This window comes from Homo sapiens, chromosome 3 (assembly GCF_000001405.40).
Source record: "Homo sapiens chromosome 3, GRCh38.p14 Primary Assembly".
NCBI lineage: Eukaryota > Metazoa > Chordata > Mammalia > Primates > Hominidae > Homo > Homo sapiens.
The window spans coordinates 62,418,821-62,445,069 of NC_000003.12; the positions used below are offsets into that span (position 1 = coordinate 62,418,821).

The 26,249-nt window shown below is 39.9% G+C and overlaps 1 protein-coding gene across 50 annotated transcripts in view, besides 1 other annotated feature; it reads right to left on the reverse strand.

Annotated features, from left to right (window-relative positions):
* Nucleotides 1–26,249, reverse strand: part of CADPS (calcium dependent secretion activator) — a 477,069-nt gene that overhangs the window by 20,473 nt on the left and 430,347 nt on the right. For all 50 annotated transcript variants that reach the window (NM_183393.3, NM_001438352.1, XM_011534199.3 and 47 more), the window contains one exon: nucleotides 19,284–19,391. In NM_183393.3, coding sequence (NP_899630.1) covers nucleotides 19,284–19,391 — 108 coding nt within the window. The remainder of the gene's footprint in view (nucleotides 1–19,283; nucleotides 19,392–26,249) is intronic.
* Nucleotides 1,322–3,604: an enhancer, noted in NCBI's record as "VISTA enhancer hs1316". NCBI's record gives its function as "enhancer in: forebrain[11/11]" and the evidence as "EXISTENCE:transgenic organism evidence [ECO:0001131][PMID:17130149]".

Here is a 26,249-nt window from a genome sequence, read left to right on the forward strand (position 1 = left end):
GAATCTAACTTAGATGTCAAAATTAGATCTGTGCTTGCCTGTGCACAACAGAACTTCTGAAACTGCGGAATGTCTAAGAAATTAAATAAAAATGTAACCAATGGTCAAACCCTGAATGAAAAATGGAACATGGGCCAGACACCAGCTGCTCTAATACCCCTGGCTCAACAGCAGGACATATCACAGCAAAATCAGGAAAACTCGATTTTGTGACACTTACATAGAAAATTTTTGTAGCAAACATCAGAAGCTGACACCTTACTTTCTGCAAGCAAACCGGGAAACTGTGATATGTAAGAGAAAAGGAATGGCTCTCTTATGTACCTGAATTTCTCAGTTCCGACCATTTCTTTCTTCAAGATACATAAATAATGAGCCCAATGTGATTAAGCCCCAATCAGCTTCTAACCAGGCCTTGTCTGCCACCTGTGTCTCCCAGGGCAGGTGTGCAGTTTGGGCATTAACAAACTGACCACTGTTAACAATACCTTTTTCCTAGGGCCTATTTTTCTCTGGATATGTTGGGGGATTTATTCATAGGCCTCCCTGTGCACTGAGAAAATGGACCCCCATGCCTTTAGCCTCCATCCTCTCAAAGGAACTTACTGTTTTGAGAAAATGTATAGTTACAATCTGAATTTGCACTTTCAAGTCGTCTCAATCTTTTAAAGCTTGATTATGTCAAAAAGAAAATTCCAGTTTTGGTGGCACATCCTACCACCCATTATCCTTGTGAGCAGTGCGAATAATTTATCTGAAAACTATTCTCTGATATGCATACAAGAACTTAAGATGTAGGAGAAGGATTCAGCGTATGAACTGAATTCAGATTGTTCACGAACAGCATCTGCCCACTCCCCTGATCGCTTCTTAGGTATGGGAACTGCATTTAGAGTGAACTGCATTAATTCGCAAGCAGATTGACGTAAGCAACTGAATAAGAAATTTGCATACCATATAGAAATGATTATAGAAATCATACTCTAAAATAAGGATAGTAACTCATGTACAGAACGGAAAGATAAAGTGGAGTGCCAACTCTGCCGTCTTAAAACAGGGTTGGCTAATCATATTAGGGCTAATTTCATAATTTGCACACATTAAACTTTCTAGAGTCATGAATCATTAGAGTTTTGTGAGCCAAAGTTGAAGTTCTTACTTAGGAAAATTCAAATTGACTTTAGGGAGTTGCTTTCCCGGGCTGAGGTGGTTTTCATCATTACTCTCAACATACAAAAGCATGGTCTATGTATGTACATAATTTCCAGGCTATTACATGGAAAAAAATTCAGGTGAATAGGTAAATGGAATGCTTTACATTAAACCACACAGCTGGTTTCCAAGCAGATAGTGAAAGGACACAAATATACCATCTAAAAGGTACTGTCTGGAATCCTAGAATTTGAAGACAATAAGACCCAACAACTCTAACTGGGTTAAGAACACTTTCCAAAGTCCTCTAGACAGTTTTGAAACTAGATCTATTTCAATTCAATGAACATGAGCTCTTTGGGGAATGATTTCTCATAAGGGAAGAACATGATCTTTTTAGGAGCTGGATATGGCATTGAGTGGTTTCCAAAAAGCAGTCAACATACAAGGACTGGGTGCAGGGACAATATTCAGATGGTGGTCCAGGAGCTGGGAGGGGTGTTGGGTTTCAGAAGAGAAGGCAGAGTGGCATGAAGGCTGGAGGAGGGAAGATGGCAGCAGATTGGGGAGAGCATGGCAGGCAGCACAGGTGGATGGAGAGGGCATCTTGATCTCCTAGGAGGGAATATTTGGGTGTCCATAGCAACTGCCCAATTAAGGGAGTCTAGAAAACAGGTTCTGATGCCTGGGGCCCAGGAATGAGGAAAATAAAGACAAAGTGCTGCTTTTTAAAAGTTAACATGTGTTTTCACCATGTACAGCTGGGTTCTGCCTCCAATGGCGCCCTTTCCTCTTGCTTTATTTTTACTCTCAGGAAACCGTATTCTCCTCTTTCTACTTCTCACTGCATATGACTCTATTTTTTTTCTCTTTATGGGAGGGAGAACGAACACACACACACACACACACACACACACACACACACACACAGGCACACACACACACACTTGCCAGATCACTTACCCAAACCTTACCCTGGGGAGCCAGCCATCTCATTTCTGTAAAAGGCACAAACCTCAGACCATTGTCCTTATACAAGATACACATTCAACATGCTGGGTGCCCTCGACAGCTACAGATGGTTTGGGATCCACCAGCCAGGAGGTAAGAAGTCTGCGTCAGGTCCCCCATTGAAGTGTTCAGATGGGTCTAGGGCCTGAGCACAGAGAGTTAAATCATAAATTAGCCATGAGTTAATACGTGAGGCCCGGATCACTCTGCCTTGCCGTCAATGCTTCTCGTCCACAAGGCTCCCTCCCCCTTCCTCCCCACACCCCCCACCCTTTTGAGGTGACAGAATAAGAAATTAAACACTTGTGGGTTCATTCGAAAGAGTGAATGAAATTGAATAAGCTCTCAGTACTTGAGGCGCACAGCGAGCGCCTGAATGGGGCAAACCTCCTAAGTTGAATGGAGTGTCTTTTGGGACCAATTTGTCTCTTTTCACTCTTTATTCTTCCCTTTTTGCTGACAGATGTACAAAGGCGGAACTGCGCCGTGCAGCTTATCCGCATGCACCCACAGCAGCTGTCACTTTTGTCGAGCAAGTTAATCAAGCAAATGCCACCATATCCCACTTTCTATAAGGAACAACATGTTATAGACAGTAGTCTTGCTAGAAAGAGACTTTATTTTAACTTTGATTGGCTTCGTTCCCCCACCCCTCCTGACGCTTCCCCCTTTTCCCCCCAAAGGAGGGGGAAGGGGGGACTTTGCCCAAGCCAAGGATTTGGCTATGACAATGTCAGATTTCATAATAATATTGTGTGTGAGGCTGGAGACGCATTTGGAGTTCTTTCCTAGGGATGGAGGGATGCCCCGGGTCTGGGTTTTTTTGGAGTGTGCTATTGTTTGTGCTGGACTGTTAGGCTGCATGTCTCAAGTTATAAAAAGAAAAGCCGAGGGCAGAAAATAGTATTACGCCACGAATGTCTTGGATTAATTTTATTCTTTTTTCCTTTGTAAAGCAGGTTGTGTTATTTACATATTTCTTTTGATAAGCCTCCTTGCCTGGCTAAGCTTACAAAGACTGTGCTAAATACATAATAGCATTTCTTTGTGCATCTTGTCGTTAGCGAGTTCTTTAAGTTGAATGCCCAAATTTATTTCTAATGTGCACCAACAAATGCAAGCAGGCCTCCATTTCTCTAATTCTGTGTAAGCCAAGTGGGGAGCCTTTACAAGAATTCCCTCACGTCCACATCCACTTACCCTTCTGCCTCAGTTACCACTATTTGATGGTGTTCAGAAACCACAGGCAAGAGTGAGCTTCATTAAACGGTACGCAGTGCTGACCTCAGCCACTGCCCCTGAGCCCCCAACCTGAATGCCAAAACCAGACATATTTTGAATAAACAAACTCTTTAGAAACAATGCATATAGGCCACTTTCCAATGGCCAAGGGATTTGCCACTTTCAAGAGTTGGCTAACAGCTGACGATCTATCGGGAAAGCTCTTTAAAGTTTCAAGAGAAAAAACAACTCCCTTTTTTTCTTTTCTCCTTTCTTCCTTCCTTTCTCTTTCTTTTCTTTCTTTCCTCTTTTCTTTTCCTTCCTTACTTTTTTTCTCTTTCATCACCTTGTCACATTGTTTAGTGTAAGCTTTGGTTAGAAATAAATCAAGAAAGGACTTTGGTGATACCTGATCTCAAATTTTCACATTGCTGACATCTTAGGCATTATTGGATAATGACCACGTAATGATTTAGTTGCAACTCCATTTGTATTATGCACAGATTGTATAACCATGTTATTCTATAACTGTCGATTACTCACCTCCCCTTTCCATAAAGTATTGCTAATCTGTGAAACCTCATAGTGCCATTGAAAACTTAGCTATGTAGGTAGGTTAAAAGAGTCAACAGTACCTCATTGGAAAATCTTGAGCATTGTTATTTAATAATACCACTGTGTCAAGCTTTGCTTAAGGAACTTAAGCTGCTACCCTAAACCATTTATTAACTGTCTGGGATGTAATGCTATTGTGTTACCAACATTTTACCCCCCAAATAAACCACAAAACTTTATTCTTATGGGATAAAAGATCTTAGAACACAGAGGGAGAGATAGACTGAAAGCTGAGACCTACCCCTTAGTTAGGCCTAGGTAGAAGTGGATTTTGAAGCATATATGGTATGCAAGATTCCCTACTGCGCTGTAGTCTCTTTCAGCTGAGGATGGGGTATCACCCTGAAGTGGGTTACAGAAGTGCTTTCTGGGATCATTTTAGGACCAGGGTCTGCTGGTATTCATAGAGCTTGAGTCCAGTGACAATGTCCCCACATTCACGAAAAGACCTGCCCTAATGGGGTTGAATTTTCATTAAGGGGTCTCTCTGATTAGCTATGCAACACCCATCATTGTTAGTGGACAAGCTGTGACTAATAAGCCACGTTCTAGCTAGAGGGTCATAGAATCACAATTTCTGTCTTATATCCTGCGGTGATCCATGAGGGAAATAGTGATTACAGTAAGAACCCCAGTGGATGAATTTGGGACACATAGCACTCAGTATAGTGGGGGCTTTTAGGGGTAGGAAGCACATATTTGAATAGTGTAAAGTTTTTGCCTAAGATATTATAGTTACATGGCTATTCTTGTGGTCAGAAAGAAAGAGGTTGGATCTAGGACTATTTTCCAGGCTTCTGAATTTGCCGAAGTCAGTTTGCCACTCAGTAAACCAATTTCTTCATCTATAAAAACCTACCTCACAAGGAGATCATGAAAATTACATGCATTATTACACTTAAGTGCCTAGAACAGTACCTGGTACATAGTGCCCAGTGAATATTGGCTCTCATTGGCCTCAATACCTGTAACATGGAGATCACGAAGGTTCCTATATCCTAGGGCTGCTAAGAGGATTTAAAAGAAATAACACATTTAACAAGATGGTGCTGCTATCTCTAATGTACAGTCAGGAAAATATACATTTAGAAAACTCTAAATAAATGTTATAATTGTTATTATTAAACAGCCATTTATTAGAAACTTCAATTAATTGGAATCTTTCCTCGTGTTTTCCTCTTAGGAGAATGCTGCCTTTTTTTCTCTCCCTAAAAGCCCTCTTTGGGATTTGTATCAAAAGAGCAGCTTTCAGAATGTGCTTTGGGCTGACAAACACTGTAGCCCCATCTTCTAGAGGCACAGAGTATGGCAGAAAGAGCACTGTATCCAGAGTTGGGGAACTTACTCGCAGTGCAATTCTGGATAATTCACTTTTTTTTTTTGAGACGGAGTCTCACTCTGTCACCCAGGTTGGAGTGCAGTGGCACGATCTCAGCTCACTGCAACCTCCGCCTCCTGGGTTCAAGTGATTCTCCTGCCTCAGCCTCCCGAGTAGGTGGGGCTACAGGTGTGTGCCATCACTCCCAGCTAACTTTTTGTATTTTTAGTAGAGATGGGGTTTTACCGTGTTAGCCAGGATGGTCTCGATCTCCTGACCTCGTGATTTGCCTGCCTCGGCCTCCCAAAGTGCTGGTACTACAGGCATGAGCCACCGCGCCTGGCCTGATAATTCACTCTTTTAACATCTTTGAGACTGGATAGTGACACCTGGGGTTAAGTAGTGTGAAGCAAGAGTTCTAAAGTGTCTTGACCCAGAGCATTAGACTTGGCTTCAGATGCTCAATAAGGTGGAAAACAGAACTAAAACATTTACAAAATTGTTTCAAAAGTTGTCGAAACAGAAAAGGTTTTCCAATGAATCTTCAAATTCACCAAAAAATCAAATGGGCCAAAGCGATTCATTACCCATTACATGAACCAGAATACTATATTTTCAAGGCTTACAAAAAATCAACTGACAATTGCAAAAATCCACAGTGAGATTCTTTAAGGACTTAATTCATGTTTTTGAGTTAGAATTGGAAACCGAAAATATACCTGACAAACTACACAAGATACTATCAGGGCTAGGAAGTCATCAATACCTATTTAACAAATGGTTATTGAAGGCTTACATATGCCGGACACTAGTGGTGAATTAGGTAGACAATAACAGTGCTCTCAGAGGTGGGGATGAAAATACCATAGTTTCAGAAGAAAGGGCCCTGAGGATCTGGGCAAGTTCATTTTGGACCTCAGGTTTCCTGTCTTAAAATGAAAATAATACTATCTCTTCCCATCTCTCCACAGTGTTGCTACAGAATAAATAAAGTTATGAAGTCTTGTAAGATACAAAGTAGGAAGGGTATTAACAGAAATAAACATGTATTTCAGTATCTTTTATCCTTAGAGTCAGGGTTCAGCCACCTCAGCACTATTGACATTTTTGCAGATAATTATTTGTTATGGGGGGGCTGTCTTGTTCATGGTAGTATGTTCACCGCCTATCCATTAGATGCCAGTAGCACCCTCCCGCCACCAATCAAAAATGTCTCCAGACATTTCCAAATGTGCTGTAGGGGACAAAATCACCCACAATGGAGAACCACTGCTCTAAATTAGTGGTTCTTGACCAGATTAAACTCTCGGAACTTATTTTAAAAACAGATGTCTAATCCCTACCTTAGATCTACTGAATCAGAATATTTAATGTACAACTGGAATGAGTACATTTTTAAAATAAAAAAGTACATATGTAGTTCTGATGCATACCCCTGGTTAAGAAGCAAACATTAAAAGACAAAATTACACGCATATAAAAAGAATTTAGCCCTCAAGTTTCTCGAGCAGCGAATGCCTACAAAGCAGGTACCTACATGCCTAGATTGGAGTCATCATAACTGGGTTGAAGCCATCCTTTGTTTAAAAGTGAATAGTGTAATTTCTGAAAGAATATTTCCAAGGAGAAGCTCTGTTAAGGCTAATGAAGATACAGTGTTGGTAAGTCAGGGACACTCCCAAAGGAAGCAATAATGTTTCCTTGCTTAGTGCCTAAGCATAGACTCCTGCCTCTTTCGCCTCCCCAAATCCTGGACATCTGTAGATTAAGCCCAGTCCTGCCTCCTGGGGCACCTTCTTTGAGGCTTCCATCTCACTGGGATATTACTTTAGTCTAAGAAAGATTTCCTTTAGCGATACTGTGGCACAACTGAGCTCTCTGCTACTTGCTATCATGTTTTCTGATCATTTCATCACTGGTAAAGATCCCTGTTGGTGTGGAATGTATCGCTACTTTTCTCTCCGCTGCAAAGCCTACCTTAGTATTAGGAAAGGGTGTGGGGTGTGTGTTGTTTTTTATTTATTTATTTTTTTAGATAGAGTCTAGCTTTGTCGCCAGGCTGGAGTACAGTGGCACGATCTCGGCTTACTGCAACCTCCACCTCCCAGGTTCAAGCAATTCTCCTGCTTCAGCCTCTGGAGTAGCTGGGATTACAGGCATGCGCTGCCATGCTCAGCTAATTTTTGTATTTTTAGTAGAGATGAGGTTTCACCATGTTGGCCAGGATGGTCTCAATCTCCTGATCTCGTGATCCACCCGCCTTGGCCTCCCAAAGTGCTGGGATTACAGGCGTGAGCCACCGCGCCCGGCCGTGTGTTGGTTTTTTACACCACTACCACTACTGATGACGACAACAATAAGAAGAGATATTCATGGAGTCATTTCTATGTGCCATGCACTGTGGTTTGTGCTTTAGAGGCATCGCCTCATTTAGTCCTCCTAATTCAAAAAGCTACCTACTGTTTTTATCCACTTTTTTTACAGAAAAGAAAATTGAGTCTTGGAGAGGGTAAAGTAGCTTACCCGATGTCACACAGCTAGTAAGTGGCAGACCCAGGAATTAAACTTAGAAATGTCTGACTGCAAAGCCTATGCTCCTAACATCTGCTCGATATAAAGAAACAAGTCCCTTGAAAAGTTGACAGGGCGGTCAGGCATGGTGGCTCACTCCTGTAATCCCAGCACTTTGGGAGGCCGAGGGGGGCAGATCATGAGGTCAGGAGATCGAGACCATACTGGCTAACACGATGAAACCCTGTCTCTACTAAAAATACAAAAAAAAAAAAAATTAGCTGGGCATGGTGGCAGGCGCCTATAGTCCCAGCTACTAGGGAGGCTGAGGCAGGAGAATGGCGTGAACACAGGAGGCAGAGCTTGTGGTGAGCAGAGATTGCGCCACTACACTCCAGCCTGGGTGACAGAGCGAGACTCCGTATCAAAAAAAAAAAAAAAAGAAAAGTTGACAGGGCACCTTTCAGTAGAAGGAGGCTGTAGTGACTCATTGAACTGACAAGATCTGAGTTTTTGTTGAAGCATTAATGCTCCATGGGAACTATAGATGGGTGAGTGTTAAGTTCAAGTTGGCAAAATTAGGTGTTAATAATTGCTTTTTATTTTTTAGCTCCTAAAAACATGTTTTTGGATGAAGCTTGTCAAAAGGATTTCTGAGACGAGTTCCCGAGATATCTACCAGGTAGAATATCCTTTAGAGACAGTCACTGGAGTCCCACAGATCATGCTCATGATTTAAACTCAAATAATCCATTCACTAAAGACAAATGATTTGTGTCAGTGGAAGTATCATCTAGAGCATGGTTTTTCAATCTCTCTACACTATTGCTATTTTGAGCTGGATCATCCTTTACTGTAGGGGCTGTCCTGTGCACTACAGGAGGTTCAGCACTGGCCTCTGCTTGCTAGATGCCAGTAACATGCCCCCAACCCCCGAGTTGTAGCAACCAGGAATGTCTCCAGACATGGTTAAAAGTCCTCTGTGGGACAAAAATCACCCCCCGGTAGAAGCACTAACTCAGAGTTCCCCAAACTAATGAAGCACCTAATAACTGAGTCTTTTCTCTTTAACAGGATGATTTCCTAGGGCAAAGAATGAATTTTCTGAACAAAAGGGAGTGATATTTCTCTTCCTTAAAAGATGATTTTAAAGAAATTTCACTAGAAAGCAACTCATGCATTTAACTTTGCTTACTTTACATATTATTTGTTCTTTTCTAAAAAAAAAATCTTTTTTTCTACACAAATAATGAGAGGGGCTTTATACCTTGGTTGGCATACAGATCTGTTAATTAATAATACTCCCATCCTGGGCAAGACCTGGAGCTTTGTTGGTATAACTGGCTTTAGTCCAGGGATGGTCAGAATGGAAAATTCTGCCAAAGGCAGTCAAGGCAGCCCAATATGGCAAGTGACACTATCATTGTAAGCCTTTTGATACAGGAATATTCACACTGGAGGCAAATCACTAGACTCTATTAACTGGATTTTTAGTCAACTCAGCAGGAGTTTAACAGAAGAACAGGAGGCTGTTAACTGTTCTCTTCTGAACTGGGAATTTGGAATGAATGAAGTATTTAAGTTGAGCCTTCTTTTCAGGTTTTTGGACACACAAAAATAACTTGCAGCCACCTGGTGGAAGCAAGACTTTTTTTTTTTTTTTTTTTTTTTTTTTTTTTTTAAATTGAGGTCCGGGTGGAACTATAAAAAGGAAAGGAAAGAGAAGTAATCAAGGGAGGCCAAAGTGGGAAGCTGTATTGCTGATCTAACGTGCTGTTCCAGTTCCTTCTTTTGGCTCTAAGTGGGACTACTCTGGATACAGTCAGGGGAGAAGAGGGTCCTGGATGTCTAACAAGCTTTTCCCATCATTGCATGGAGTCCTCCAAACATAATCTCCTTCAGAGACTGGCAAAGGCTCCCAAGCTAACTCCCAGATGGACACATGGACTTCTTGAGTAATCATTTTAACAATTCCTAAGCTCGACTTTGTTGTTGCTACATCATACTCATCGCGTTTTTGTGTGATGATGGCAGTGGCAGGGGGCTGTATTACATCCAGAGAGGAAGGGCTACCTGTATACTTTTAGTGGTAACCTCTTTTCTAGTTCGTGCAGATCAGTGGTTCTCAAATGGGGATGATTTTGCCCCCCAGGGGAAATTTGGCCATATCTGGAGACATTTTCTTCATTTTGAGAAGGACAGTGGCTGCTACTGGTGTCTAGAGTAGAAACCAGGGATGCTGCTCAACATCCTTTAATACACAGACTAGCACTCTACAACAAAGAATTATCTGACTCAAAATGTCAGTGGTGCCAAAGACGAGAAACTTTGCTTTAGAAGTATTTTTGAAACTGAGGATTGTAAACTTATTTGTGTGTAGTAGAATCATTTTACCTGTTACCACTGAAATTTTTGAAATTCAGTGGTAATATCAGGAACTATCAGACTGCATCACATAAATATTGTTTTATAAACTTTTGTTTCGTGTGTGTGTACACGCACACTGGGTTGCAATGTAAAATTTCTTTCTCATTGTGAGTTGGGGCAAATAAGTTTGAAGTAATTGATCTTGCCCACTATGTGCCAAACTTTTATGTGCACTTGAATCAAAGAGACTCTTGTTAAAATGCAGATTCTGATTCATTTGGTCTGGGGTTAGGGCTGAGACTATATATCTCTTACAAACTTCCAGATGATGCTGATGCTGAGGGCCTGTGGATCACATTTTGAATAAAAAGAACCTATGCAAGATTTAAATTCACTCATTAAAATAATTAGAGCAGTAACTATGTATCTAGGTATTGATCGTGAAATCTTTTGATAGCCTATCTGGAGCCCAGCAGGGAGAGAAATAGTTACTTGTTTAATAAATGAGAAGTATTTGAGGATTTAACACAGCTCGTCTCCTGCAATGCAATGTGATAATATTTCTTCCACAAAATGTGCTTTGGCTACTCTGTGTGTTTGTGTGTGTGTGTGTGTGTGCACACGCGTACTTGTACATGTGTACTGTGTTTGAGTCTGTCACTTACTGCTTCCATGCCGTTAAGTCTGCCATAAGAAAAAAAAAAACCCCTGTTCTAAGACACAGAAGTATTGTGTGGGTCATGTTAACAAGAATACTGTGACCTTAACGTAACAGAGCAATCAGCTTGGCTTCTTAGAATGATTAATGGAACATTCTCCTCTGGAAAGGAAAACAAATTAACTGTCTTCACCAAATGTCTTCTGGAACACAGAAAGCTGTTCTGATAAAGACACTTAGCAAAACTCTTCATTGCCTACAAGCTCCAGAGAAAATTCAAGACTGGCTTTATGTAAGGTTTGCCTGAAGGTAAGAGAGTTCTATTTCTATGAATGGCTTTGGAAGGAAATAGCTAGATTAGAAAACTACTTGAAGATATGTTACAGAAATGTAAATCTGTGAGAATACCAACAAAAAACCCCTCAGTTTCTTTTGGATAGTAATAACCCATTTAACATGATTAATCCAAATCTGTTAATGCCCCTTATCTTTTTTTGTATGCAGGATTGCTGAAAGTTCAAAATACCCAGGCATGGAGTGAAGCATTCCCAAGTCCATGTGGAATGGAAATGTGTTTCTATACCTAAGACTCCAAAAGCAAAGTAATTAATTGTTATCACTTACTTGTAATTGTGAAGCCCATGGGGGAAGAGGGGATTGACATTTGAATACTATTCACTGCAATAGGGCATCAGAAAAGCACCAAAACACTCGGTTCATCTCCTCTCATCCTAATAGAAGAGGAATTATCAAAACTGTTAAAAGCAGATTTGGATGGTGGGAGTTAGAGAAAGCATGAAGACACTGGGAATTCGAGTGGCCCTGGAGGGCATAAGTCATGAAAACGAACTTGGATTGTTTTTTAATTTTAGCTTGGAAGTATCCTGAGGTTCACTTCCAAGAATCCAAACAGAGCTTAGATTGGGACTGAATACATGGTTTTCCTCTGCCAAGGAAACTTAACTCCCTAATAAGGTATATATCTTACATACATACATACACATACACACACACCCTATTTTAAAATATATATATCATATATATATAGATACCCGTTACGTAACAATATTTAGTAGGTAATGTTACCAATCAAGGTGAGTGATGGGTTTCTCATTTCCCTCCAACTTGTCTCCAGTTTCTGTATTCTTTTTGGGAAATGACACTCTACAGCTGTAATGCATGGCCTAGGGTATGACTTAATTGCCAGAGTTTACTTTGGGGCTCGAAAATAGATGAAAGAATCAACTGTCTCTTCTTCCTGTAACTGCCTTTCCCAGTTCATTTGGATTAGCTTTCTGGTTTCAATACACATAATCTCACAGATTCTAAGGGATGTCCTAGTAGCCTGGCTGACATGCTCTTTAGCTTCATAATTGAGGATAGAGATGAGGTCACAGTTCAATTAAAATTTGATCTAAAGAGTATGGAAAAGCTCAGCTTCAGACTGATTTGGAGGGCTTAATTTCAGATTGATAACCTCGGGGAAAATCCCGGTAGAATTAACAAAGGACCCTTCCCAATAGTATGGGTATGTGTGTGTCAAAGTCACCAGTCTAAGACTTCAAAGCAGTTACAGTGACACAAGAAATGCTGGACTGTGACCCTCTGATTTACCCACCCAGCTCAGATAGCTGTGCCTTATTCCAGTAGTTAAAATCTCTGTATGTCTTCACATGGCCACCTTGTACTCTGGCCTCTGTGAGTTTTTTACAGTTTAGCCCCCCCTCAATCTTTTTTTTTTAAACTAGCTTCAGAAGTTTTCCTTACATACAGAGAACAGCTTAAATAAAAAACCCCGGTTGAATTCTGCTAAGTTACTAATTATGTTTAAAAGAACTACTTGGTTGAATTCAGCTTGATTTTTTTTTTTTTTCTCAGCAAATCAGTTCTATGTTTAGATAGTAATAAACTCCTCCAGTCTGCAGAACAATTGGCACGGCAGTCCCTATAACAAGTCAAGATCATGAAAAAAGGGCCAGTGCTGGTTCAAAATAAATTTAAGGGGCATCACAACCTTGCCCTGCATCAAATCCTGGTTTGCACAAACCAGCTGTAAAGAATATTTTGGGGACAAGTGGGTAATTTTGAATACAGTGTATGAGAGGAAAATTTACTGGCATGGGAAATAGTGACCATTAACTTTAAAAAGCAATTTTTTTGCTTACTCATTTTAGAAAAAGAGTACATTATATATATATATAATTATATAGAAAAAGATTAAAAAAAACACCACTGATAATGATATGTGGGTGCTGGGAACACAACATTTTAATCTTCTTATTTTTTGGTTAGCCATATTTTCTAAATGTCTACAATATACATATACTGCATCTTAATAGTAAAGGGTATTAATTACTCCCTCCCTCTCTCTGCCCCCACCCCCCAAAACCCTGAAGTTCCGAAGGTTAATTCTGATTTATTTGGCAATGCAGTGTAGTTTTGTTGAGGGGGTAGAGCTAGGCTATTTCAAAATCACTTGAAGGAACAAGTAGTTCTATGAGATGATAAGGATGATGATGATAAGAGACTCATTGAATTTTTAACTACGTCTGTCTACATTCATTATATCATTTAGTCCTCACGAAAACTGTAAGAAGCCAGTTTCTTTACAGATGGGGAAATTGAGGCTTAGGGAAGTGAAATAATTGACCCCAGGTTAGAAAGCTCAAAAGTGGCAGAACCAAGTTTCCTCCTTCTGTCTGTCTTACTTCAAAGCCCCACTCCTGACCATCACTATTTTGCCTGTTTCAGGAAGATGTTTTACCAAAAGTAAAAAAGGTACCAGGCTGCTCTACATCAAGCAATTCTAAGCAAGCTTGGGGTTAATGTCTTAAAGTGATGGGGAGACTCATAGCACCTTAACATGAATATGAAACTTTGCTTAACAAGGAAAAAAAGAAGGCTGGGAAAAGCATTTCCATTTTGATGATGATGATGATAGTGATGATGATGATGGTGGTGGCTAACACTTACCAATGCTTCCTCAGAGCTCGATGCTGCAGATTCATATGGCATTTCACCCTCATAATAACTCCACGATTATCATCCCTGTTATATAGATGAATCAGCTGAGGCTCTTAGAGATTAAATGCCTTGTTCAAGGTCACCCAGCTAGTAAGGATCAGGTCTGAAGGTTCCAGAGGCAGGGCCCATGATCACTGCACAGTAAGTCCCATTCAGGGCACTCACGTCTGCTTATTGCTTAGAGAGGAGATAACTCACTGTCTCAGTGTCTAGAATGCCATATGCCTTGAATTTCTTTAATCAGCCCCTTAGAAGTGCAACTTATTGTGTTAGTGAATCCTATGCACCTCTCCCCACTTCATATTTTTGGAAGTGGTTTCCCTTACCTGGACAGCTGGTGATATACCTTACAGATATAGCGTCATGTCCTCCTTGTAGCCTATTATTTGGTACTTTCATCCTCCAGCAGGATGATTCCTACTTTGATTGATATATGCTCACATGTATGGTGCTTTAGTAATTTAATAAGGTTGTTAAAATAAGGGTATCTGTGGTTTCATATATAAATATAGCAAATATATTTTAACAGGCAAAGGTTTCATGTTTCAAATTACCCTTTTCAAGGGAACTAGTCACACTCAATTATTGTTCTGCCACACAAACTGGACAAATACACGATTTGAAAATGGAACAGCAAATTAAAATCCGTGCGAGGCAAAGAATACTGAGTAGCAGCCCCTTCCGAAGCTGACCACACTGCTTGATTAAGTTCTTACGAGGTGGTTTGGTAAGAGGCCCTTTCCTGATCTGATAACTGCCACGGAGAAGCCAAATGCAGAGTCAATCTGCAAATACTTAATCCTCCAGAAGGCAGATTAAGTGTATAATTGACCTATATAATCCATGTATCATCTCCAGTCAAATGTTCCCTGGGCCTGGTTCCCAATGACACGGGGCCTGAAGAAAGCCAGTGCGGATGCGGCATTACTACCAATGTGGATTCCATCCAAGTTCGAGATGGCTTTTTAATCACTCATCTCCGAGCCTGTGAGGTTTAAGCAGATGAATTCACCCTAAGCACATCTCTTTTAATCCCGATTTTCTTCTCAGTCTGTGTCTTCAAGAAGTACAAGGAAGAAAGAAAATTAATTTTTGTTTAGACCTTGAAATCTTAGGTGCGTCTCTTGATGATCTGATCTCTAATTTCAAAAAGCATGTTTTTATTTTGGGGAAGATGTTGAATTAATCACTAGAGAAGGAGGGAAAAGCCATCTGCATGATTTATGGATACTCCAACTTTAAATCACTGTCTTCAAGTTATTTCTTGAGCTTGTGCTTTCCTCTGTAGCTGCTGCTTTAGGAATATGGAGATTATTTCATATCCATGTTTTATATTTTCTTTGAATGTCAGCAATAATTTTCAAGAAGGCTAAGCTTCCACTTGAGTCTCACAGCAGTCTGATCTTCTTTTAAAAATTCAGCATCTTTAATCTACTTGAATTCATTGTTTTTGTGTATATTGGAATATTCTCTTACTTTAAATCTCAGTTTGTTTTGTTTCAAAATGTTATAAACTGTTATTCTGCAGCAACTGAAAACAATATACAATTACACTTCATTTTTTATGAAAAAATATAAAAACGCAGATAAAAAATGTCCAGCTGCACATCTGAAATATTATGGGAAACAGTTTGCCGATTCTTTTCTGATCAGCACTTTGTCTTGGATTGGTTAGTTTTTTTCTTAGGTGCGTTATCAAAAAAGTCATTAGTATTTTATAGAAAGACTAGGTAAATCAATTATATTAATAAACAAAGGAATCTTAATGGCAAAAGCAACCCAGTTAGGCAACATTATGTCCAAATGTATTTCTCCAATAAACCTAGAGAATGCTTGGTTAAAACAAAAAAAATCGGTGAGGATGAATTTGGAAAGCCTGTTCTTAAGTTACGTAATAAAATAGATAAAAATGCAGAACATCAAATATAGAGTCCCAAATGCTATGCCGATAATCTCCCACAAGCACCCACTTCCAGCCAAAAGTACAATGACGTGGCAGAGAGAAAACTAGCTCAGAGAGCACTGGGTAGGGGCCTAGTTAAAGCAGAAAATGCACCGTTAAATGACCAGCTATTAATCCAAATATTCTCAAATACAAACACACACTAAAACCATCCAGCCTTTTCTACAAGGGCACACTCAGAAGGGCAAAAACAGGAACAATACCAAACAGCAACAACTTAAAGGACTTATCAGGTAAATAAAACTGAGACTTGAAACACAGTTAAAAACACAACAGGAACTCTTAGAACATGCCTCTGAATGACAGATGCCAGCAGGAACTAAAAACCAGAGAATGACACAACAGTCAGAATCAACAACCCCCAAACAGCAAACAATCTCGGAGATATATATTTTTTTCTTCATTCAAAATGTTAATTTGCTATTATTCATTTTTGCCATTTATCAAAATGCAACGATTTGGAAGAAAAATCTCACAGAGCAACAAGTCTTTCTCAATAGGTTTCTGCCAATTGTTTAGAAACTTGCCCCAGGACCCCTATCATTAAGGAATGGGATTTAAAGAATAAGTTCATTTGCAGCAAGAAATTTAGAGTGGCAGCTTTCACAGACCCTTCTGCCTTGATATTCCTATTCCCTTGTTTAGCTTGGTGGACACAAGAGATTTGCAGAGCATGTACACAAAGAAATAAACACCATGCTTGAGGAAACAGAAGCCGAAAATAATCAAACATGTTGGTAATCTGATGTTTTGCTGCTAGATTATAGAAAAACAGTAAGTACTGAATTAAATTACTAAGGCTGCATGGTAATGAAGCTTTTCGAGAAGCTCTGGGTTTTTAAAATGACAAATGTTTTAAATCCATGACAGATTCAATAACTTTTTTTGCACTACATCAGTTAGGTTGCCTAGCACCAATATTCTGTAAAGTAGGAGATCAGGTTATTTAGAAAGTAAGAAAGTAAATGGCAAAGAAACTTGTTATCTCTAAATAAGCTCCTGAAAAATTTTTTTTTTTCCACGGGGCCGGGAGTGATGTGCAGTGAGTGATTGTAATAGTTAAGCCTTTACCATCAGATATACTCAGGAGGGTATAACTAAGACTCCGTTGGGAAAACCAAATTGGGACAACATCAGACTAAATTGTGGGGGTTTCCACAATGTTACTGATGCTATTTTATGCTGGTCAGTGGAATTCAACAAGGGACTGGAGTTACTTGTGAATTTTTGAATGTCCCTAACTATAACTTGCTTTCGGAAAAAAATATTCTCAGTAATATTTCTTTTTACTATTAATTTACTATTAATTAATTAATTAATTAATTAAAGGCTGGAGGGCTTGAATTTTGCCTGTGGTCTTCAACAGTCAGGCAAGTCCAGTTTTACCACCTGTACTAGCCAAGGCTGCACTTTTCCTTTTTAAATGAAGATTTGGTTGCACTTTCCTTTAAGAAGAGCCACAAAAGAGATAATGTGCCTTGCTGCGTTCAGCAAGGCTACCTTGCTTGTACTTCTAATTTCAAAAAAAGAGAGGCAAGGGTGGATTATTTGTCAATTAAGTAACAAGCTAAACTGCAGATTAAACATCAAATTCAGTACTAGATTTAAGTTTTAGAGAACACAAGGTTATTGGTTATTCACACACACTCACACAATAACACACACACACGTACACACGGGCCACATAAAACTGAGAATCGGAAGATACTGATCAAAGGAAAAAGAAAGGCAACCTAGGCATTGAAAAGGACAACCCACAGGCTTCTTGAATATTTGTGGTTTGGAATTTAATTCAATGGAGATGGGCAGAGTGTCCACACTCCTAACTGCAGACCCGAGGGTCCTGCCTGTCTCTGTTTTCAATGCCTATTGGATGGTGATTGTGCCCCGGACATTCTAGGCTCAGTACTTTCATATAAGGCATGCATGCAGAGAAGGGGGAGGACCCGCTGGTGAGCTTTATGCATGTATGAGGCATTCTCAGTGGATGTGGGTCATGCTAGAAGATGTACACAGGAAGATTATTTGATTCTAATTCATGCCACTTGATATAATGTGATAAAACATTTGACATGAGAGATAAGTTCCATTTTTATCTGAGAGAGGATGGGTGGGAATTAAAAAGTAAGAAGGGTTTTGTCGAGGAAAGGTGATGCAGGGGAAAGAGGGGTATCAAGCACAGAAAGGGGACGATTGGAAAAGAAAAGAAAAAAAAAGAAAGGAGCCTTTCTACACACGAGGAAAGCAAATGAGCTGGAAGTCAAAGCATATAAAAGTCAGAAGCCGCAGAATCAGAAAGCGGTGCCAACAATGAGCTCACTTAGCTGTGGAACAAAAACACACACACATACACACACACACAAACTCAATGTAAATTGCTGAACACAATCACAGAAAAAAAAAAATAGAAACATGGATTCCATAGTAGACCAAAACATTAATGTTCGCATTGGCACTAAAAATATGGAAACCTGGACAGGAGGAGCTCACGTTTCACAAGACAGAAGTAGGCTGCACACTCAGAGCCACAGGGAGACAAGAACATCAGCTTCCATGCACTCTGGCCGGGTCTACACTGGCAAATTCGGTGGAAACCCGAGATGAAATATCTGGCTAAATTAGGTAGCCTCATCTGCTTTGGCCTAAAAGAGATAGGCAATTTGAGACTGAAGCAGGTTCCTTTTTTTTTTTTTTTTTTTCTTTTTGCCTCAGTGGCTTGCTTTGCTGTGCAGATGCAGTCTCAGTGGAAATAAGATTGCTCAAAAATGATTAACCCTTGGTAATCTGCATTTTCTGAAGTTTGATCTGGGTCCGCAGCCCAATGTACTCATTCTTTGTACACCTGTTTCTCATAAATTATCAGCTGGCTGGGTGGGCAGGGGGCGCCATGGTTTAAAGCTGCAACTGACTGAGCAACTCTAATGTAAGTGTTTGCCAAAACCCAGGGTAAGGATTTCCAGTCTTCCAGGAATGAAATTATCTTTGAAGTGATAACGATGCGACATTTACTGCACATCTGCACACCACAGCTGGTGTCAGGGAGGCGCCACCCCCAGGAGAGGGAGTTGGTCTCAGCCTCCCTGATGAGAATATCTCCCTAAAGTGAGGCCAGATTGCAAGGAGGAAAACCATGACCAAGAAAGGTCTTTGCCAGTTAGAGAGAGCTGCCTTGCAAGCTTCGTGCAGGAATGAGCCTGCTTGCCGAGAGGCTGTGTGCCGTCCTACGTATCACACAGATTGGGACTGAGACACTGCCACACCAGAGTGGGTTCAGAACAGACACAAGACAGATAAGAGCCTAAGGCAGAGGGAGAGGAAAAGATTTAGTCTGAATCAGAACCAATCCATTTTCTCAAAATGTGACTTATCCTCCTGTCTCTTATTTTGTCACATTTTGGAGGGTCTCCTCCTTGGTTTTCAAGGAGGAGAAGGCATTTACTTACATCAAATAACCTTTCTATGTACATCTCCTCATTGACCTTATCACGCAGGACATCCTGAGAATGGCGGACGAAAGTCACGTAGGCGTCGGCCACGTCCATCCCGGGTTTCTGTAAAGAAACAGGAAAACATGAAAACGAATTTTCAGACAGCCACTCTTCCTTGTTTACCATTCACTTGTACCCTCTACTTGCCCTCACACACCCTGAGATGCTTCTGCTGGATCAGCTTTGTAGGCATGGGATTGCTGTCCACAGCCTGGGCTGGTAGGAATTGATATTAGAACTGCTTCCTCTTTCCAGAAATCAAGCCTGGCTAAGAAGGGCATTGAGATTGTAGGATTTTATAAATAGTTTTTCTATGATAAATTTTTTCCTGGCAAATTTATCTAATGGATAAATCTTTACTGCATAACCCATAGATGTTCTCTGACTTTGCCTTGGATTGAAACCTGCATTAAAGAATATCCAAACATACTGTTTTCCACTGTCCTTAATATATTATCAGACGGGTGATGGAACTTCCCATTCCTTTTTCCTCTTTTAAAATATTGAGAAAGTACTAAGTAAAAAAAATTGTGTTTCAATCTATACCTCTTCCTACCCAAGTCTCATTGTGTGTGTGTGTGTGTGTGTGTGTGTGTGTGTGTGTGTGTGTATAGCTTAACCTGAGTGGATATAGTATTTGCTAATTAATTAGTTCACTCAGAGGAGACACTAAACCATTTGTCTTTGCTTCCAGTGCAGCCTTAAAGTCCAAGGATTAAAAAGAAGAAGAAGAAGAGAAGAAACAAAAGGCAGGGGAAGGAGGAGAGGATTTGATTTTTAAATAAATCAGATTTTCTGGAAAGGTAAGCTGGTGGTTCATCCTGCAGTTAGGAAATGACTTATTGTAGGGAAGTAAAAAAAAAAAGAAACTCAGAAAGCACTCTGCTTGAGATGTCACAATCAAAGTTATCTCCAAAGAAACCTATTAAAACACTGTAATATAGGTCATTAGGAGAGTGGCCACAAACCCCTCAAATTTCCACAGTAGATATATATGTCTGCTAATAACTAAAAAGATTAGTTTTCATTACTGTGATTTACCTTAGATCACAAAGTATCATTTCTCTACTAGACGTGACTGTCAGGCACTGTAAATTGAAGTTAGTTAACACTTCTGTGTAATTTCCAGGGTGAAAATGAGGAAGGTTTAGAAACAGTAGGACTGTATTTTTTTTTCCTGATACAAAGCAAACAATTATCATGCAAAGGGCCAATGCTTGGCCCCTGGGATGCTAGTAACATTTCTTAACACCTGCTGAAACAATGACAAGGTATTAATTTGAAAAACAATGAGGACAACCCAAAGCCACAGTAGTCAAGTGTTACACTTTCAAACAATTTTCAGCGAATGGATTGAGCAGGTTCCATGATGGTCCTATAATTGTTGCAGTTTTATGATACAAAACAATAGAGGTTCTCCAATGAGATGTAAGTGATAGCTATCAGTTCTAAGCAGGCACCTCTCTCCTTCTCTCCGTTTGGCAACTGTGCATCAAAGGGCATTCTCAGTAGGGATGGGGATCTCTACCTGGGGGACTTGAGAAACTTATTATTGTTTCTATTTCTCCCCTGGTGATGCTTGTGGCAATATGGCCTTTTCCTGGGCGCATGCAACCATCTTAGAGCTAAGGTACAAAGTCAAGTGCGGCAGATCTATCAGTAACCCAAAATGTTAGAAGAAACAGTAATCTACAATGATGCGTATTTGCACCACTCCTTCTCTTTTCACGAAGTTTCACTGTCTTCAAAGGGGCACTTCATTCAAGTTTTAAAAACTCTGGTATTTTAAAAAATCAGTGTGGTTCATCTTACCCATGTAGTTAAGAAACTCCATGATTTGCTCCCTTTTGACTCTTCTTTTTCCAATAGCACTTACCAATAGCTGATGTTGTATTATACACTATTTGTTTTCTCTCTTATCCCACTAGAACATAAGCTCCATGAACCCAGGAACTTTGTTTGGCCTGTTTTCTATTGCATCCCCAGCATACAAAATGGTACCTAGCATATAGTAGGGGCCCAGTAAATATTTGCTGAATGGACAAATTCAAGAATGAATGAGCAAATCCTTTCTCCATCTCCTCCTTTTTCAAGCTCTTCAGTCACACTGCATGGATTTTTACTGGATCTCCCACAAATTGGAATTTGTGAATATCACTTAAACTTTTCTGTAAAAGAAGAGTTAAAAAAAAACTTCTCTGGGCCTTAGTTATGCTATCTATAAAATGGGATTACTAACAGCTCCCCTACTTACCTCCACGGACTGTTATGGTCATCAGCTAGAATAATGTATGTAAAAATGTTTTGAAAGCCATATATTGTAATACAAACATGAATTACTATGATTCCCCCCCCCCCCCATAATATTATACCATTCCACAGCCTTACCTACCTTTAGAATCTACTCTAGAACCAAGAAGAAAAGGGGGCCTCAGAGGAGCCAACGTCAAAATAAAAATGATAAAGCCTCAGCACAAAACATGTGTAGTTTTCTCATAATGGAGTCCTCAAGCTCCCACTCCCAACCAATTCCAACAAGTTTGGTTTCCATCCCTTGATGGAGCAGAAATAGGGAAGAGGGGGATTGTTTGAAAAAACTGTGCAGATAAGAGAGAGCTATCATTTTTCCTTATGCCTGACGGTGAGGGAGGAGGCTGCCCAACTGCAACACCAGACATGCAGACTCACCAACCGCTGGGGTTTGGGACTATCGAGGGCAGGGGCAAGCCTCCCCTATATCTTGGGAGGCCCTGGAGGGGAGTGGGTCACTATGCAGCCACTGGGGAAAGACATGGTCACAATGGTGATCCTGAGTCATTGAGAAAAGATTATAGTCAGTACCCTGTTTAAAAAGGCAAGAAGGTTGTGTAATGCATTTCAAGTAGATTTCCAATCAAAACAATTAAAAGAAAAACTGTTCACAAACAAGCTAACCCTTAGTTATAGCTGGAAAATATACTTGACCAGACAGCTGATACTATTAAATTATGCTTTTATATCATTGTGCTACCCGCACACACTGGGACAAACTTTTAGATGTTTTTTAATATCTCATAATGACATTGTGTATTTTAAATGTGGCTTGGACAGACTGATTGAATATGACACAGATTTTAGAAAACACTTAAACAAATATCTGTATAGTTAACTGCATCCATGTGTGGAAGACATAATTTGTGAATAAGCTACCCTGTGGCTCAGAAAAAGAAGAACATTTTAATCTGAACTTGCCCCTACCGGAATACTTCTGAGCTTGAGAAAAATGAGCTCAAACTTCCAGCATCCTAAGTCAGCCCTACTTATGAATGCAAATCTCCTACATATACCAATGGGTCAAAAACTACATCTAAAACAAAGACATATGCTTTGGGGATCATGTAATGTTTTAGGTGACTGGTACTAGAACTTCCCTCCAGTAGTGTGGATAGTTAAGAGACAAATCTCAAAGGTGACTAACTGCTAGTGCCCACATGGAACTAAACCATTAAATGTTCTAACAAAAACCTCACAGGGAAACACAGGTGATCTCAGAGGCTTCAGAGATAGAAATGAGTTGAGAAATGATTTTATCTGATGGTTCTTAAGCCTGGCTGCAAATCTGAAGGACCTGGGGAGCTTTAAAAATACTGATGTCTGGGCCCTGAACCCCAAAGATGCTGTTTCAATTTTGTCTGGCAAGTGACCTGGGCATTAATGCTTGCAAAAGCTCCCTAGTTTCCAATATGTAGCCAAGGTCAAGAATCACTGATTTAGTCCATTGGTTTCCCAACTTGTACTACTTATCAGAATTATGTGAAGAACTTAATGGAAAGCAATATCCAGGCTCCACCCCAGAATGACTGAATCAGAATCTCTGGAGGTGAGGGCCTGGGACTCTGTATTAACAAAACAAAAACAATTATGTGCCCATTAAAAAATAATAATAAAAGCTGAATATATTAATTAATAAAAAACAAAAACAAACCAGAAATTTTTTTTTTTTTTGCCAAGTATTGCTGCTGTACATTCTAGTTTGGGGACTGCTGACTTAATAGGTAATAGTTAGTGGTATGCTGGTAAACTGACTCTTTTTTTTTTTTTGAGATGGAGTTTCGCTCTTGTTGCCCAGGCTGGAGTACAATGGCACAATCTCGGCTCACTGCAATCTCTGCCTCCCAGGTTCAAGTGATTCTCCTGCCTCAGCCTCTCTGGAGGAGGTAGCTGGGATTACAGGTGCACGCCACCACACCCGGCTAATATTTTGTATTTTTAGTAGAGGCGGAGTTTCACTATGTTGGCCAGGCTGGTCTTGAACTCCTGAACTCAGGTGATCCACCCACCTTGGCCTCCCAAAGTGCTGGTATTATAGGCGTGAGCTGCTTCGCCCGGCATAAACTGACTCTTCAAAACCAACAACAAAACAAAACAAAACACCCTGATTTGTAGTGTTTACCAATTTGCATGGTGTAAATACTCCCATCAAGGCTAATTTTGAGCTACCAATGTGCTCTCATTGAAGGCGGAGTTGGAGAGAGATGCACATAATTGACCTTGGGAACCAGTGCTAGCTACTCTACCACACCCCTGGAAGTGCAGGCTTTATGGTCCAACTGACAGCACCTGATAGTCACACTCTGCTTATTCACCAGGTGACCTTGGGCATGCTAATTAACCTCTTTGTGCCTCAGTTTCCTCAGCTATAAAACAGAATGATAATATTAACCCCTCCTAGGATTGATTTCAGAAGCAAATGATTACTATTATCTACCATATATAAACAATGTACATATAGAATATACGTGTATTATGTACTATTGTTTTCTATAAAATTGTTATTTATTTACTAAAAGGTTTACTATAATATTATTAGCTATTAAAGCGTATGTTAATCAACTTAACATTTAGCTTTGTCCTAAGTCATTAATAGCTGGTAAAAAAATACTTTTTCTAATATGCACTAAAATAATTACCACTATCCAAATCAAGGTGTTTGTTTATGCACTAACTGGAATTATCTTGCAGTATGGCAGAATTTGTAAGGGCATTGGCTTAAATCTCAGCTCTTCTACTAACCCGATGTGGGATCCTGAGCAAATTAACTTCTCTGTGCCTTAGTTTCCTCATATTTAAAGTGAGGTTATTGTGAAGATAAAATGTAAACTGTTCTAGTGAGTACTTTATAACGCTTGGTTGTAGTAGCAGTAATAGTAGTTATTATATTTTGTATAATCAGTGGTAAATGTACCACATTTTGGAACATGCTGCATCAACTTCTTCTGCCCTCCAGAGTGTGAAAACTCTACTAATTCAATTTGTTTCCTCATAGCCTAATGACATATGGTTTGGCTGTGTCCCCACCCAAATCTCATCTTGAATTATAGCTCCCACAATCCCCAAGTATCATGGGAGGGACCCAGTAGGAGGTAATTGAATCATGGGGGTGGTTACCTCCAGGCTGTTCTTGTGATACTGAGTGAGTTCTCAGGAGATGTCATGGTTTTACGGGGGCTTTTTTCCTTTCACTCATTCTTCTTACCTCTGCTGTCTTGTGAAGAAGGACGTGTTTGCTTCCCCTTCCGCCATGATTGTAAGTTTCCTGAGGCCTCCCCAGGCATGCCGAACTGTGAGTGAATTAAACCTCTTTCCTTTATAAATTATCCAGTCTCTGGTATGTCTTCATAGTAGCATGAAAATGGACTAATGCACCTAACGAGTCTTCTAATTTAGCATAATTAATCCATAAACACTTAATGAGTACAGATCAGGGCACCCTGCATTTTGATATAGAGTCCACTTACTGCCCTCCCATCTTTATAATAAATCTGAACCTAGCTTGCAGGAATTATTAGATCGAATCATATGAAATGGCTGATATTTGACTTCTTTGACCTCACCAATATGCCAATTTCATGTGGTTCAATCTAACATAACCTGATGTTAGTACCAATGGCTGGATCAAGTTTCTCTAGGTGTTTGGGCCTTGTCTACAGGCCACCTGTTCAAACCTGGCTGAGATACCCCCTCTGCTCTGGATCCTACAGAGAATAGACCACAGCTACCAAATCTTTGGGTCGAAAGCCGAGAATTTCAATTTCTATCACTGTTGAAGACCAGTGGAGCCCAACGCTGATGTCTGCAAATTCATCCCCCATCCATCTATATGCAATAGAGTGTGGACATCACACTACCACCACCACGTGTGTCCTTCTCCTGGACTGAAATTCCTAATAAGTGCCAGGTATGGTGCTGGATGTTCTATGTATGTTGTGTCATTTAATTTGCACAGCAAACCCATGACTTAGGTATTATCGTCATCTCCATTTTAAAGATGGAGAAACAGGGCCAGAAAATTTGAGTAGTTAGCTCCCCACGAAGGGAAAGTTTATACTTTGGAGGCTTGAGAAAGTAAATTACTTAAGTTCTCTCCCTGCTGCAGTTATGTGAGCTTTTTCTATTCTCCATTATAAGAACTGTCTACCTGAAGGAATCTGAGGTTTGTGGATAGGAAGTATCATATAAATTCAAAGCATAATTATTGATTGTACATTCTTTCATTAAACAAACACAATATATGCTAATGCTAAATTCACTCCAATTTTCTATTTTGTCTTCCTTTGAGAAATAAGCCAGTAAACCATTACACACTTAGCTTCCTGGGGAAATGAATTTAAATGTTAATACAAATCCTTTTAGAAAAAAACAAATTTTAACAAATAAGTATTTGAACAAGGGGGGTACTTAACCACGTTCAGAATGAGAAATGCTTAGTACAAGACCCTTGGTGGCTGTTGAGATAAGCTCTCTAAATTTAATATTTTATAATAGACTCACACCTCTTTTGTTAGAAATGGAGAAACAAAATCATTTTCTTTTTCACTTTACTGGAATATATTAAAATCTCTCCAATTTTATTTTGCTAATAGGCAGGGCAAAGTCTGTCCA